At 43.8% G+C, this 14,968-nt stretch overlaps 1 protein-coding gene across 7 annotated transcripts in view, besides 5 other annotated features; it reads right to left on the reverse strand.

Moving 5' to 3' along the window:
* STK39 (serine/threonine kinase 39) overlaps nt 1-14,713 on the reverse strand; it is a 293,574-nt gene extending 278,861 nt beyond the window's left edge. For 6 of the 7 annotated variants that reach the window (NM_001410961.1, NM_013233.3, XM_047443941.1 and 3 more), the window contains exon 1: nt 14,346-14,713. In NM_001410961.1, the coding sequence (NP_001397890.1) occupies nt 14,346-14,553 (208 nt within the window). In that variant the 5' untranslated portion in view covers nt 14,554-14,713. Of the gene's footprint in view, nt 1-12,671; nt 14,180-14,345 lie in introns of those variants that run through there. The other variant, XM_047443944.1, reaches the window with a different exon arrangement.
* Nucleotides 13,599-13,798: a silencer, noted in NCBI's record as "silent region_12072". NCBI's record gives its function as "represses an Ori minimal core promoter by ATAC-STARR-seq in GM12878 lymphoblastoid cells {active_cell/tissue: GM12878}" and the evidence as "EXISTENCE:reporter gene assay evidence [ECO:0000049][PMID:35858748]".
* Nucleotides 13,819-13,908: a silencer, noted in NCBI's record as "silent region_12073". NCBI's record gives its function as "represses an Ori minimal core promoter by ATAC-STARR-seq in GM12878 lymphoblastoid cells {active_cell/tissue: GM12878}" and the evidence as "EXISTENCE:reporter gene assay evidence [ECO:0000049][PMID:35858748]".
* Nucleotides 13,999-14,048: a silencer, noted in NCBI's record as "silent region_12074". NCBI's record gives its function as "represses an Ori minimal core promoter by ATAC-STARR-seq in GM12878 lymphoblastoid cells {active_cell/tissue: GM12878}" and the evidence as "EXISTENCE:reporter gene assay evidence [ECO:0000049][PMID:35858748]".
* Nucleotides 14,409-14,458: a silencer, noted in NCBI's record as "silent region_12075". NCBI's record gives its function as "represses an Ori minimal core promoter by ATAC-STARR-seq in GM12878 lymphoblastoid cells {active_cell/tissue: GM12878}" and the evidence as "EXISTENCE:reporter gene assay evidence [ECO:0000049][PMID:35858748]".
* Nucleotides 14,669-14,918: a silencer, noted in NCBI's record as "silent region_12076". NCBI's record gives its function as "represses an Ori minimal core promoter by ATAC-STARR-seq in GM12878 lymphoblastoid cells {active_cell/tissue: GM12878}" and the evidence as "EXISTENCE:reporter gene assay evidence [ECO:0000049][PMID:35858748]".

A 14,968-nucleotide genomic window follows, 5' to 3' on the forward strand; every position in this document is an offset into this window, starting at 1 on the left:
GCCTGGGCGACAGAGTGAGATGCTGTCTCAAAAAAAAAAAGAACAGGACATGAAATTATAGCCTTCAGAAAGTCTTGCAGCATTTATGAAGACAATCACAAAAACGGCTATAGATGAACTGAGAGGCTCATCATCTCTTGGCCCTAGAGATCAGAGATCGTCACTTTTTAAACAACTGATGGGTATTTACTTTACTAAACACTCTAGCCCCGATCTTGACTTATGCCAAAAATATTACTATTCTTACGTTCATCCTAATGATCACATTTTGAAACTACACAGAAACACTTTTCCCTAGTCCTATTTCAGCCACCCGACTCCTCAGGAAAGGTGCCACATTAAAAATGTTTCCACAACAACTTGTGTTTAAGGTCAGGCACTGGGTTTCAGACTTCAGAAACTTGAAAGGGCATATACAAGGAAAAATTTTAAAGGGATTACATAGTAAAACATTCTCTGTTACAGCTCCGGTCACTCAAGGGACACTAAATGTGAGAAAGTACACACTGTTCCTGAGTTGCCCAAAATTAAACCCACTTAATCTCCCTACACAGATTTTTTTCCCACCCCTCAGTCATTAATTCCTTCTCCCAAAAGAGCAGGTATCCTACCCAAATAGTGCTTGCTGAGTTAGAATTTCTATTAAGGAACTGGCTTAAATGATGTTTTACTTGCTTTGTGATCTGTAACTTAGGATAAACTATTAATCCTTGACTCACTCAAATCCCAAAATGTTTCTAACTCAAAGGAAAAGAGGGACTATGATTCAAATTCACCGTTTAAGTGACTGAAATTAATTTTGGTACTATTTTTCCTAATTAGGGTTAATTTCAGAACTTCTTTGTAATTTCATTTTTTAAACCTTATAATCAGTCCCTTCTTCATAACATAAGACAAACTGAAGTGATTCTGACTACGATATCCAACCAAAAGACTCTAAAATGATCTTTTTTAAGATATGACACATTATGATATTTCTGAAAATATTGGGTTTCATTTGGACAGAATCTGTGTTTAGTCATCACAAGAACATTTCCAAAATGAGGTAAGTCAGTAAGATAAAAACTTATATTTCAAAACTATTTTCCTAAGTCGACAGGGGTATCTGTTTCACCACACACAAGAATACTCTTCTTCTGAAGAGATGAATTGACTAGCTTGCAAATAGGTACAGAGTGAAAACAAAACATTTTTTAAAAATCAGGTGATGCCTGTCTCCTTTTTGTACTAAGTCAGTGGCAATACCTTTGCATGTTATTAAAAGGTGGCCTCACACTACTTACAGCCATCATAACAGTATTTAGCCAGTCTTTGAACATTTCCGAGAAATTACCATCCAGCACCACCCCATGTAACTTTCTGTGATGAGGGAAACAGTCTATATCTGCACTAGCCTGTAAGGCAGTCGTAGCCACAGTTCATTATTGAGCACTTGAAATGTGGCCAGTGTAACCGAAGGACTGTACCCTATTTCTTTAACTTTACTTAATTAATTTAAATGTAAATAGCCACATATGGTTAGTGGCTACCAAGCTGGACAGTGTGGTGCTAGCCCCTTTCTTCTGGGAACACTGCTGCTGCTCTGATTGTTATAAAATATCAGCCCCGCATAAGGGACCACCTCTCTCCAACTAATGATCAGTCATGGTGTATGTCTATTTCACGTACTTTTCTTCAACCCTCAACTTCCTGTTCCTCCACCTTACTTTACAACACACACCCACCTCCACCTCACTGACAGATTATAACCAAAGATTAAAAACATAATCTACTGTAATAGACCAGGCAAAAGGTGATGGCTGAAATGAAGACATTGTATATTTACATATAACCTGGTTACATGTTACATAAACATGCCCTGATGAAGAAATAAATATAAGTAAATAAAAATCATTTTAATGCCCCTAAAGACATAAGATTTTTACTGATTCCTACATATTTTTACTCTATTTATTTATTCAGACATATTTTTACTCTATTGAGTCATAGGCCAGATGCAGTGGCTCATGCCTGTAGTCCCAGTACCTTGGGAGGCCAAGGCAGGAGAATCACTTGAGACCAGGAGTTTCAGACTAGCCTGGGCAACATAGTAAGATTCCATCTCTAACAAAAAAAAAAAAAATTTTAGTAGTACCTTAAAATTTATTGAGTCAATAATTTTTTTTTTTTTTTTGAAACAGAGTCTCACTCTGTTACCCAGGCTGGAGTGCAGCGGCGTGATCTTGGCTCACTGCAACCACCGCTTCTCGGGTTCAGGCAATTCTTCTGCTTCAGCCTCCCGAGTAGCTGGGATTACAGGCATGTGCCACCATGCCCAGCTAATCATTCTGTATTTTTAGTAGAGACGGGGTTTCACCATATTGGCAAGGCTGGTCTCGAACTCCTGACCTTGGGATCTGCCTGTCTCAGCCTCCTGAAGTGCTGGGACTACAGGCGTCCCTGAGCCACCACGGCCGGCCCGAGTCAATAATATTTCTAACATCTGCCTTTCCACCAACAAGGAAACAATGTGATATAAGTGGAAGAAAATACTGAATTAGGGCAGAATCACGAGCCTGGGATTTTTTTTTTTTTAATTATTATTATACTTTAAGTTTTAGGGTACATGTGTACAATGTGCAGGTTACATATGTATACATGTGCCATGTTGGTGTGCTGCGCCCAGTAACTCGTCATTTAACATTAGGTATTAGGTATTTCTCCTAATGCTATCCCTCCCCCCTCCCCCCACCCCACAACAGGCCCCAGAGTGTGATGTTCCCCTTCCTGTGTCCATGTGTTCTCATTGTTCAATTCCCACCTATGAGTGAGAACATGCGGTGTTTGATTTTTTGTCCCTGCAATAGTTTGCTGAGAATGATGGTTTCCAGCTTCATCCATGTCCCTACAAAGGACATGAACTCATCCTTTTTTATGACTGCATAGTATTCCATGGTGTATATGTGCCACATTTTCTTAATCCAGTCTATCATTGTTGGACATCTGGGTTGGTTCCAAGTCTTTGCTACTGTGAATAGTGCCACAATAAACATACGTGTGCATGTGTCTTTATAGCAGAATGATTTATAATCCTTTGGGTATATACCCAGTAATGGAATGGCTGGGTCAAATGGTATTTCTAGTTCTAGATCCCTGAGGAATCGCCACACTGACTTCCACAATGGTTGAACTAGTTTACAGTCCCACCAACAGTGTAAAAGTGTTCCTATTTCTCCACATCCTCTCCAGCACCTGTTGTTTCCTGACTTTTTAATGATCACCATTCTAACTGGTGTGAGATGGTATCTCATTGTGGTTTTCATTTGCATTTCTCTGATAGCCAGCGATGATGAGCATTTTTTCATGTGTCTTTTGGCTGCATAAATGTCTTCTTTTGAGAAGTGTCTGTTCATATCCTTCGCCCACTTTTTGATGGGGTTGTTTTTTTCTTGTAAATTTGTTGGAGTTCATTGTAGATTCTGGATATTAGCCCTTTGTCAGATGAGTAGATTGCAAAAATTTTCTCCCATTCTGTAGGTTGCCTGTTCACTCTGATGGTGGTTTCTTTTGCTGTGCAGAAGCTGTTTAGTTTAATTACATCCCATTTGTCAATTTTGGCTTTTGTTGCCATTGCTTTTGGTGTTTTAGACATGAAGTCCTTGCCCATGCCTATGTCCTGAATGGTATTGCCTAGGTTTTCTTCTAGGGTTTTTATGGTTTTAGGTCTAACATGTAAGTCTTTAATCCATCTTGAATTAATCGTATAAGGCGTAAGGAAGGGATCCAGTTTCAGCTTTCTACATATGGCTAGCCAGTTTTCCCAGTACCATTTATTAAATAGGGAATCATTTCCCCATTGCTTGTTTTTGTCAGGTTTGTCAAAGATCAGATGGTTGTAGATATGCGGCATTATTTCTGAGGGCTCTGTTCTGTTCCATTGGTCTATATCTCTGTTTTGGTACCAGTACCATGCTGTTTTGGTTACTGTAGCCTTGTAGGATAGTTTGAAGTCAGGTAGTGTGATGCCTCCAGCTTTGTTCTTTTGTCTTAGGATTGACTTGGCAATGCGGGCTTTTTGGTTCCATATGAACTTTAAAGTAGTTTTTTCCAATTCTGTGAAGAAAGTCATTGGTAGCTTGATGGGGATGGCATTGAATCTATAAATTACTTTGGGCAGTATGGCCATTTTCACGATATTGATTCTTCCTATCCATGAGCATGGAATGTTCTTCCATTTCTTTGTATCCTCTTTTATTCATTGAGCAGTGGTTTGTAGTTCTCCTTGAAGAGGTCCTTCACATCCCTTGTAAGCTGGATTCCTAGGTATTTTATTCTCTTTGAAGCAATTGTGGATGGAGTTCACTCATGATTTGGCTCTCTGTTTGTCTGTTATTGGTGTATAAGAATGCTTGTGATTTTTGCACATTGATTTTGTATCCTGAGACTTTGCTGAAGTTGCCTATCAGCTTAAGGAGATTTTGGGCTGAGACAATGGGGTTTTCTAGATACACAGTCATGTCATCTGCAAACAGGGACAATTTGACTTCCTCTTTTCCTAACTGAATACCCTTTATTTCCTTCTCCTGCCTGATTGCCCTGGCCAGAACTTCCAACACTATGTTGAATAGGAGTGGTGAGAGAGTGCATCCCTGTCTTGTGCCAGTTTTCAAAGGGAATGCTTCCAGTTTTTGCCCATTCAGTATGATATTGGCTGTGGGTCTGTCATAGATAGCTCTTATTATTTTGAGATACGTCCCATCAATACCTAATTTATTGAGAGTTTTTAGCATGAAGGGTTGGAGCCTGGGATTCTAAGGACTTTGGGACCATAGGCAAGTTTCTTCAACTTTGGCCATTAGAGAGTTTTCAGTTACAAGACAAAGCAGCTGGGATGGATTTTTTTTCCTTTGGTCTCTTCTAAAATTAAATTTCCTAATTCTCTCTATATTCTTGTACCACTTCTCACTTAGGAACTCACTTATAAAAACCAGCCATGACCTGCCATTCCTTCCCCAGGAAACCCCGTCTGCTGCTCCTCTTCCTTTGCTTTCTTGAGTCACCCCATAATTAAACAAACAGAGATAGTGACATTGCCTGAGAGAAAGAAAGAGAACCAGATGATTCAAATTAAAATCTAAGCTACACAGGATAGGTCAATAGGCACCAACCTACCCAAAATGTAATCCTTTTTCAATCCCCAGACTAAACAGAGTAGGAAATAAAGCAGTTGGAATACCCTTAGTACAAACTCTGGTTCAAACTGATGCAACCAGTTCAAAACAAAATCATTACTTCTTCTAAGACCCCAACCATCCACAGAATGATTATGAGAAGTCTCACAACTGTCACAGGTCACTGGCTCCAAAATACTCCCTGAATGAAGATCTATCATTCACAGGGCAGAAAGTCATCCACCTCTACTTTCCATCTAGTTTTTTCTGACAAATAGCTCCAGTGGTAACTAAAAGTTAGAAACCTAAACCCATAAATGTCAATAAAATGTATATTTTTTACCTAAGGGAAGAATCACATGAGCACCCCCAATACTAGGCTTCTGAGAGTTATACTAAATGCCACTTACCTGGAAGAAGTTTGAAAATAAAGTCAGGGATAATATGAATGTAGAGGTCTCTACCATTTCTATCTTAAAATGTTTTCCCATATATCAAAATACACAATCAGTTTAAAAGGTCAATTAATCTCAATCCTCAATGTCCAAGAAGTTTCTTAAAGCTAAGCCAGAGTTTATTCTCAAATAACTGTTTGGCAAGTGAGAAGAAATGTGAAACATATCATTTACTCACATCGGATTCCAAAGTATTTATCTAAATCGACTCTAGAAATAAAGTATGCCAATCCATTCTCTAAAGGATTTTTCTCTTCTGCTTTTCAGTTAAGCCAAGTCTGAAATGACTTTTTAATTAATATATTGAATTCTTGTCTAGTATCAAAAACTTGGCCAATTGATGGCAGATAGGGAAAAAAGAAACACTTGAATCACTTCAACTAAGAGCTGTTTTGGTATAATCTAAACACAACTATCCTAGAGGAAAACGTATGACTTCACATGATTACATGGAGAATTTTATTTAAATAGGAAAAAAAAACTTTCCCAAAAAGTACACTGTAAAGGAATTATAACATCTATTAGAATGACCCGGTTCTATGGTCTTAGCAGGTACCACAGCCATCCTATCATGTCAGTCCCTTATAAGTTATAAAAATAGAACTCCTGCCATCCTAACAACCTTTGAAAGCCACTTGTTCTGCAATTCTGCTCCTGTGTTTCACCTGCATCCCTGATCGTCTCCAGCAGCCCTGATTCCTACACAGGAAGAGGCTCCACAGAACTTCAAGGTGAGTGTTATATATAAATACATGAACAGCAAGAGAGAGAGATCACTGATATACAAAAGAAAAGAAAGCTCTAGAGCTTTTGAAGGGCAGTGTGGGACTTCCCCACTCCACCCTACAATGTCTACGGATGCCAGAACTGTGGCAGGGAGCTCTGGGTCCTTTAATCCAGCCAGAAAGGCCACCTCTCAGTCCTAAGACCTCAGGAGAGCCAGGCCTCTGCCTGCCTACCTCCACAACACAGGCAGGTGGACGCACTCAAAGTGCTTACTCTTGATCTGTGAGGATTAATGAGCTAATTTCTACAGAGCCCTTTAAGCTGATTGGCCCAAACGCAACTAAATAAACCCCATCATTAACCACGGGCAAGATCAAATCCTCAGGATCCAGTGAGGCAAATTTTTAGACGTCAGGCAATGTTCCTCCTCCACAAGGTGAGGAAGGAGTATTTATCCCCAAAACTCAGAACTTCATCCAGAAAACATTTATTAAATATCTATTATGACATGCAGGGTAGGGAGATGAGAGACCCTGTCCTCAAGGAAGACTTAACAGTCTAGAGCCAGGCTGGCAAGGAAAATACAATTTGCAGATAGTGTGACAACTGCCAGGGAGCGAAAGACCCAACAGAGCCTGAAGGGCAAGGGGGGAGGGGGGCTCTAGAGGCAGAGATTGTTTGTGTGACAAGAAATCACTTGTTCAGGGTATGAGAAGAGAGGCCCAGTCAGGGTGCTGGTTACATGGTGTGTTCAATTCATGAACATGCACCAAGATATACATTTTTTATATGTACACTTTTCCACATGCATATTATACTTCAATAAGGGCAATATTTAAAAGAAAAGACAGAGCTCTTTGCTACATAGATGAAAAATGGAAGGGAAGGGTCTTGGAATGGTGTTCCAAGCAGAGGGAAATCTTGCCTAGAAGAGGCATTTCAGCAACTGCAAAAGGTTCCCACTGGCTGGAGAGTCTGTCCTGAGACTGGAAATTACAAGATGTGGCTGAAAAGGGAGGCAAGAGACAATTCCCAAAAGACCTTAAACACTGTGCTTCAAATTAAGTCTTGAGGGTGACGGGAGAGCTACTAAAGGCATTTCAGCCTGGGAGCAACGTGATCAAGAATTTTGGTATAGCAGTATCTTTCTGGTAGCAATGCACACTACAGCCAGAAACAAGAATGGAAAAAAGGAACCTGGTTAGGAAATTATTACAATAATCCAAATAAGAATCGATAAGGGCCTGAACTAAACCAGTGGTGGCTGACATGAAGAGTCAGAGTCAAATCAAAGAAGATCTCAAGGAGGTGGAGTATTTAGGACTTGGTGACCAAACAGATGTGAGAGATGGACAAAGACAGGAAAGTATAGGATGGCCAGCAGGTTTTGCCCTTGAGGGCTCTAAAGATGATGAATATAGAAGAAACAAGATTAGGACTGAGGCCAGGGTGGAGAGACAATGAGTTTAACTGTATGAAGTTCCTGTGAAACATTCAAACGAAGACATTAAAAAGGTAGTCCAAACACTGGTATACAGTCAGGAAGACCCTCAGCATTTGATGTGGTAATTGAAGCTTCAGACAGACAGAGATGTGGATCTGGGGCAGGCAAGGGAGTACAGGAAGTCCAGAAGGAAGGCATGGCATGGAAGCTCAAGCAAATGCCTTTCCAAAAGGAGAATGAAAGATGGCACCTAACCCTGCAGAGAGCAGAGAAAAGGACTGCAGTGTCCACTGGCTCTGGCCACAGAAGAGTCACAGTGATTTCAGAGAGTAACTTGGGTTTCTTAGGGAAAGGGCAGAAGCCAGACTGCAGTGGGCTGAGAGGGAATGGGAGGTTCCTTCCAACAATTTAGCAGTGAAAGGAAGAAACGAGATAACCGAGTAGCCAGAGGAGAAAGAAGTAGGGAGAGTGTTTTGTTTTGTTCTCTTTTGTCATTTAAACATAAGAGACAGGCTTGAGAATATTTATAAACTGAGGGAAAAGCAAAGAGGGAAAGAAGGAGACAGGGAAGCAATGGTGATGACTTTATCTGAAAATGAAGGCCTCTGTCCTCGCACTGGCTGGGACACACAGGGAGCGTTTCTTTTAGTCAGCAGCATTTCCTGCCAGCATGGCAGCCTCCGGGCAAACTCAGAGGTGGAGGAAAAGTGCAGTCCTAGCAGGTTGTTCTCGGAGCCCTCTCATAATGGGCTGCTCCTCTTCAGCAACCTTCCCGCAGGATGCTCTCATCACTTGTCAGAGGGCCATTTGGCACCTAAACCCCTGAGCTGTCCAAATTGCCAGGAGCTCCACAGGTCTCTTCAGTTTCCTCCCACAGCAGTGGAGGTGCAAGGGGAAGCCAGATCCCCAGGGGCCTCTCCCCTTGTAAGCCCCTTCCAGCAGCCCAGCACAAGAGTGGGAATAGGGAACAACCTCTCTTTCCCACTTCCTCCCTGCTAGAAACATAGCACAGAAATCTTCAAGCCACTCCAGAATCCTGCCAAAGATAGGACTGTGTTCTCTCCTGATAACTTGCATCTGATTAGCAAATGAAGTCTATAGAAGTTATGGCTAAGACTAATTGAAAGCATGCTGTGTGCCAGGCACGATTCTCAGTGCTTTACATTCTCTCATTCCTCACAACCCTATTTTTATCATCCCTATGTTACCAATGAGGAAACTGAGTGCAGACACATCTAAGTCATTTGCTCAAGGTCGCAGCGTCAGTGACCGCCATTGCAGGACATGAAACAGGCCAGGCTGTCAGACTCCAGAGCCGGCACTGCTGCAACTTATTTTCAAACACCATCACAAAATGTACTATACAATAAACCATAAAAGTCAGGGAAGAATTCATAATATCACTAGTTAAAAATCAAATGCATAAATAAAGGATTGCAGTCACTTTACCACAGTTTCAAGAGAGATCTTGAGATCTCTCCCCCCAGCCCCATGACAGCACATTTAAAAGAGTATTTATCTTGTAAATATAATTAATGCTACTGAATTGCACACTTTAAGAACGGTTAAAATGGTACAATTTTTGTTGTGTATATTTTACCACAATAAAAATAATACAAAAGAGGCCGGGCACAGTGACTCACGCTGTAATCCCAGCAACTTGGGAGGCTGAGGCAGGCGGGTTACTTCAGACCAGGAGTTTGTGACCAGCCTGGCCAACATGGTGAAACCCTGTTTCTATCAAAAAATACAAAAATTAGCCAGGCCTGTAATACTAGCTACTCGGGAGGCTGAGGCAGGAGAACTGCTTGGACCTAGGAGGCAGAGGCTGCAGTGAACTGAGATGGCGCCACTGCAATCTAGCCCAGGCAACAGAGCAAGACTCTTACAAAAAAAAAAAAAAATATATATATATATATATATATATATATATATATATAAAGAGGCCAGGCACAGTGGCTCACGCCTGTAATCCCAACACATTGGGAAGCCAAGGCCGGAGCATCGCTGAGCGGAGGAGTTCAAGAGCAGCTTGGGCAACATAGTGAGACCCCCATTTCTTAAAAATAAAAAAAGAAAAAAAAAATTAGGCAGGCATGATGGTTTGCACCTATAGACCCAGCTACTCAGGAGGCTGATGTGGGAAGATCACTTGAGCCCAAGAGTTCGAGGCTGCAGTGAGGTATGATTGCACCACTGCACTCTAGCCTGGGTGACAGAGTGAGACCCTTTATCAAAAAAAAAAAAATACAAAATACAAAAGAACATTTCTATATACATTTTTCTATTTATTAAAAAAGAAAGTGAAATGAAATGAAAATCAAAGCCCTGTCTTGAGACAAAGCATTTCAGACATCATTTAGTATTTTAAAAACAACAACAAACAAACTAATCAAGATCAAAGAACCCACTGCAGCAGCAAGGCAGCCTGGTATAAAGGTCTGGGAGATCAGAACACACTCAGTGCTCCGGCTCCCTTACCCTAGCGCCAGCGAAGGTACCACTGTCCTCAAACTGCCTCTAGGATATCTATAAAAACCAATTCTAACCCCCAAACCATAGAAATCCACAGAAACTCTGAGAGCACAGAGCAAAGTGGGAATGCCCAGGGCTATTTACAATCTCATTTTACAAGAGGCTGTTGCTCCTTAAAGACCTGGCCATATGTGCTATTACCTGGACCTGAGTAAAACGCACCTGAATGGATAAACAATGCCTCACAGGAGAGAAATAAAGCATTCAAAGGAACCCTCTGTCAAACCATGTCCAGGATTCTAGAACTCAAATTCTTCGTGTTGACTAAGATGGCAATTTGTTACTTTTAGGTCATTCTAAATGACCACCCGGGACAAAAGTGAAGCAATGCTGAGAAATCTAGTATAAAACTACATAAAGAAAGGTGCATCCTGCAAAAACCCTAAGAAAATCAAACAAACTCCTGCTGAGGCAGGAGTCTAGGGTTTCTCAGAAGAAATTCAGCAAAGATAACAACATTGCTGGAATCACCTAATTCAAATACAGAAATTAGTACTTCAATGACTACAATTCTTTGAATGAGAAGTTCATTGAGGCTGCTCCATTCCATTACGGATGGCCAAGTAAACACTTATATGATTCACTTTCATTCCCTGTTTAGCAAATCTAGGTAATATTATTAACACCCCCAACAAATAAACTAAGTTTTCAACTGGCATAGCTTTAAGTGCCCCTTATACTTCTAAAGGTAGGGGTACCTACTTTTGGGGGCTCAACTCACCCCCAAATTCCTTCTTTAGAGAGGTAAGGAACAAAGATTAACAAGGCTGAAGAGTATAAACAGGTCGGAAAGCCTCCAAAAAGACAGAAATATTTGAAATCTACTAAGACAAGGATATCAATGTCTGGAAGAAGGAATTTAATAATTTCCAACATTTTTAACCCCTCTGTAAATATAAAGCTCCCTCCCATCGATTTTACATCATTTCCAGGTCATGAATAAACTTATGAACCAGAATACTCCTAAGAGCATTACAATTTCTCCACTGACGTTTTAAAACACAAGAACAACAATACAATAAAGAGAAAACTTTATTTTTAGGTTTGCAAAATCCTGTGTTTATTTTTCTAAAACTGAAGTCAAACAACTGAACCTGCTTTGTTTGGATTTTAGTAAACTTATTCTCTCTTAATCCTGGGGGACCAAACTCTGCCCAGAAGGAAATGAAGAAAAAGTCCTCCGTGCCCGTGCCATGCTGGAAAGTTAAAACACGGTGCCTCCTTTGGTTTTCTGTTCAGGCACATCTGAGCCTCCTGCTGCTGGTCACGGTTCACACTGCTGGAGTCATATCATATGACACCTGCCGTATGGCGGGTAGAAGCAAAGGCTGTCAACTGGCATTCATGTTGAAACTGGTTCAGTGTTTGAACTGCTAACTTCTGCGTGTAATGTTTAAGCAAAAGTGCTTAACCACAAGTTCAGTCTTAATCTCTCAACTAGCATTAAACCCTAAATGGAAACAGGTTTGTAATTCCTTATAAACATTAAGCCCTTGCGAAAAACCTATTCCAGCAATTTGATTTTTCAATAACAGGGCCTCCACACAGGCCAACTCTTTCTCTTTTAGTTGGGAAAATATGAGATAAACTTTAAATGTAGAAAAGCCCTTCCCACAATGCAAATGCGCAAAAGTCAGGGTAGAATAAGCAGGTGTTTTTGTTCTCAAATTCCTCAGGTAAATTTCTTTTTTTCCACTAAACTGACCAACCATAATTAACACTGCTGGGACTGCAAACAGAAAGAAGTCCTGCCATTAATCCCACTCAACTTAAACTAAGATTTTATTAGTTCACAAAAAAATACTGTTTTCAAAAGGCAACGTTTGTATTTTAACCCTAATAATTGACCAAGTAGGTATATAAATTGATTATAACTTCTCCCAATCCTATGGACTCTATGGAGAATTATGTGGCAGATACCATTATTCAACTTTTATGGCCCACCTCTTCCTGTCAGAGTTCACAGCTGGTTAGTGAAGGCAACAGTGGAAATAATTAAGCACCTTACAAACTCAGACTTAAAACCCAGCTCAACTACGACCTCTACTAAGAAATACTCTGCTTCCTTCTCTTTCCTGGCAGTCACTCCCTCCTTCGGGCTCTCCCAGTACTTACTCATCACATCCTATAGGATCCTTTCCCTATGTCTCCTAACAACTTAGGGCAGGGATCACTTTTGTTAATTTCTATATTGCTAGCAAGTGGGGCAATGCTTGGGACACAGCAGGCCTTCAGATCTTGTTGCGCAAATAACAACTATGAGGTTACATGCTATGAGGTCTGTAAAAAGAGGGGCAGAAGAAACCACGGCATTTTGCCTTGAAAGAAGCAGAAGGCTTTTCAAGGAATATTCACACTCACCTTGGAAGCGGAGTGAGATTTAGTACACAAAGATGGGCACTCACAGGAGGGAAGAGCCTCTGCAAGGCAGCAAAGAATGGAAGACCAGATGTGCGGAAGACAGCGGTGTATTCAGGAAGCAATCACTGAAGAGTAGACAATGGGAGGAGGCAGGCAGGTTGAGGGTACAGGGCCTATATGCCAGGTTAAAGAGGTTTCCATGGAATATTCCAGGCTTTGAGAAGCCCCTGAAGCTATTTCAGGCAGTGACATGAAGACTCATCCCTTTAGAGTCTTTGGTCAAAAATTATGAAAGATCTGGGTTTTCAAAGAATTTTGTCTACAGATGCCTATTATAGGTTATCTGAAGCTTGTATATATCCTAGGTTACGGACCTGCCCAACATTTTCTCACATATTTTTATGTATATATTTATATATATATTTCCGTCTATGCTGTTTTATTCCCCAATAGCAGGTGATAAAGGCTCATTTAAACACCTAGTGAAATTTTTATATCTGTTTTAATTTTTTTAAAAGGAGGTGAAGAATTTTTTGAAGTGAAAGTTAGAAAAAATACTTAAGATAAATATTCTGAACTCCTTTTTCATCGCTGTACTTATATACCAAGATTCTGGAAAGGCAACATCCCATCCCTGCGTCAGTAAGGTTAGACGCTGAGGGCCCACTTAACCTGGAGGCTTCCCTAAGTGACAAGACTCTCAAACTGGATGATCCAATAGGGAAGGTTCTAAGTCAAGGGACAAAACAAATCTCCTGGCCCTTCAAGTGCTTGGCCCAAGGAAAAGTAACGCCGAGCCCTGCGACTCTGCCAGGTATTTAAAAATGTAAGATAAGGTGATATTTGTGAGCCGGCCAGAAGGCAACGAAAGGCAGAGAGCAGATCACCGGCAGCCTCGGATTTCACTCTTGCAGCTCGGCCTGAAACAGAGGGAAGCATCGGCCCGGTGCAGGGCAGGAGGCCAGGGCACCCGCTTTCCCCGGGGAGCCGGACTGGGCGGCAGGCGGCGCACCCTGGCACGGAGGGAGGCGGGTACCCGGGCGCGCCGAGTGGCGCGGAGAGCCGGGCTGCAAGGCGGGCGTGGAGTGGCGGCTGTCAGGAAGAGAGGCCAGCATCCTCCCCGGCCTCAGAAAAGCACTGGGGCCTCCGCGGCTTCTACGTGGCCCCGTTACCCACGACGAGAGGGTCACGACGGGAGGCAGAGGAGCGGCTGCGCCCGCAGAGTCCCCCAGGACGCGGCCCCCGGGGCCCTGGAAACCCAGGGCGGGGCCCCCGCAACCACACCCCACCCGCGGCTGCCTGTCCGCGTGGCCACCGGCCACGGGCTGCGGTCCCGGCACGCGGGGGGAGGAAGATGCGGCGGCGCCGCCTGGTCCTCCGCTCCACCGCCCCGGCGATCCCTGAGATAAAAGTTTGCAGCATGCGGCTCGTCTGCAGTGCGAGTCACATCCGCCGCGCCGCCTCCTGCAGCACCAACGCTCATAGAACGAACAAATACATTAAAAATTAAAAAAAAAAAAAAAAAAAAAAAAAAAACTGTTGAAGCCAGTAGGCCCCGAAGCCGGCCTCTCTGCCTCCAGGGCGTGCATGCAGGCTAGCCCAGCATCCCGCGCCCCCTCCCGCCCGGCCTCGGCGCCCGGCCTGTGCCGGCCCCGCCGCGCCCGCCGCACTGACCGATAACCTCCTGCAGCTCGTACGCGTCCCTGCAGATGGGCCAGCCGACAGCCTGTGCCGCCGGGGCCGGGGCCGGGGCCGGGGCCGCGGGAGCTGCCGGGGCCGGCGCTGCTGTCGCGGCCGCCGGGGCCGCCGCCGCCGCCGCTGTCACCGGGGCCGCCTGCTGGGGAAGCTGGACGTGCACGGGCGAGCCGCTCGGCTCCGCCATGATGCTGCGGAGGAGAGCAGGAGGACGCGCCGGCCGACGGACGACCTTCCACTTGAAACTTCCTTTGCCTCGCCGCCGACACCTCTCGGCCGGCGCACGCCCTCCCCGCCCGCCGCCGCCGCCGCCGTCCCCGCCGAAGCCAGCTAGGAGGGGAGGGAGCAAGGGAGGCCGAGCTGGGCGGAGGGAGGAGGCAGCGCCGGCGGAGGCGGGGAAGGGAGGAGGCGGCGGCCGCTGCGCTCGCCGCGCGCCCAGAGCCTAGCGCGCGCTGTTCTCCGCCTCGGCGAGGGGAACCGCCGCCCCCCCTCTCCGCCGCCCCCTCCCGCTCCCGCTCCGCTGGCGGCCGGGGAAGTTCCCACCAAAGGAGTCAGGCCGCTTTGTGTGTGCTTTCGGGGCCACCGGCCCTGGTTCTCCTCCT

This window comes from Homo sapiens, chromosome 2 (assembly GCF_000001405.40).
Source record: "Homo sapiens chromosome 2, GRCh38.p14 Primary Assembly".
NCBI lineage: Eukaryota > Metazoa > Chordata > Mammalia > Primates > Hominidae > Homo > Homo sapiens.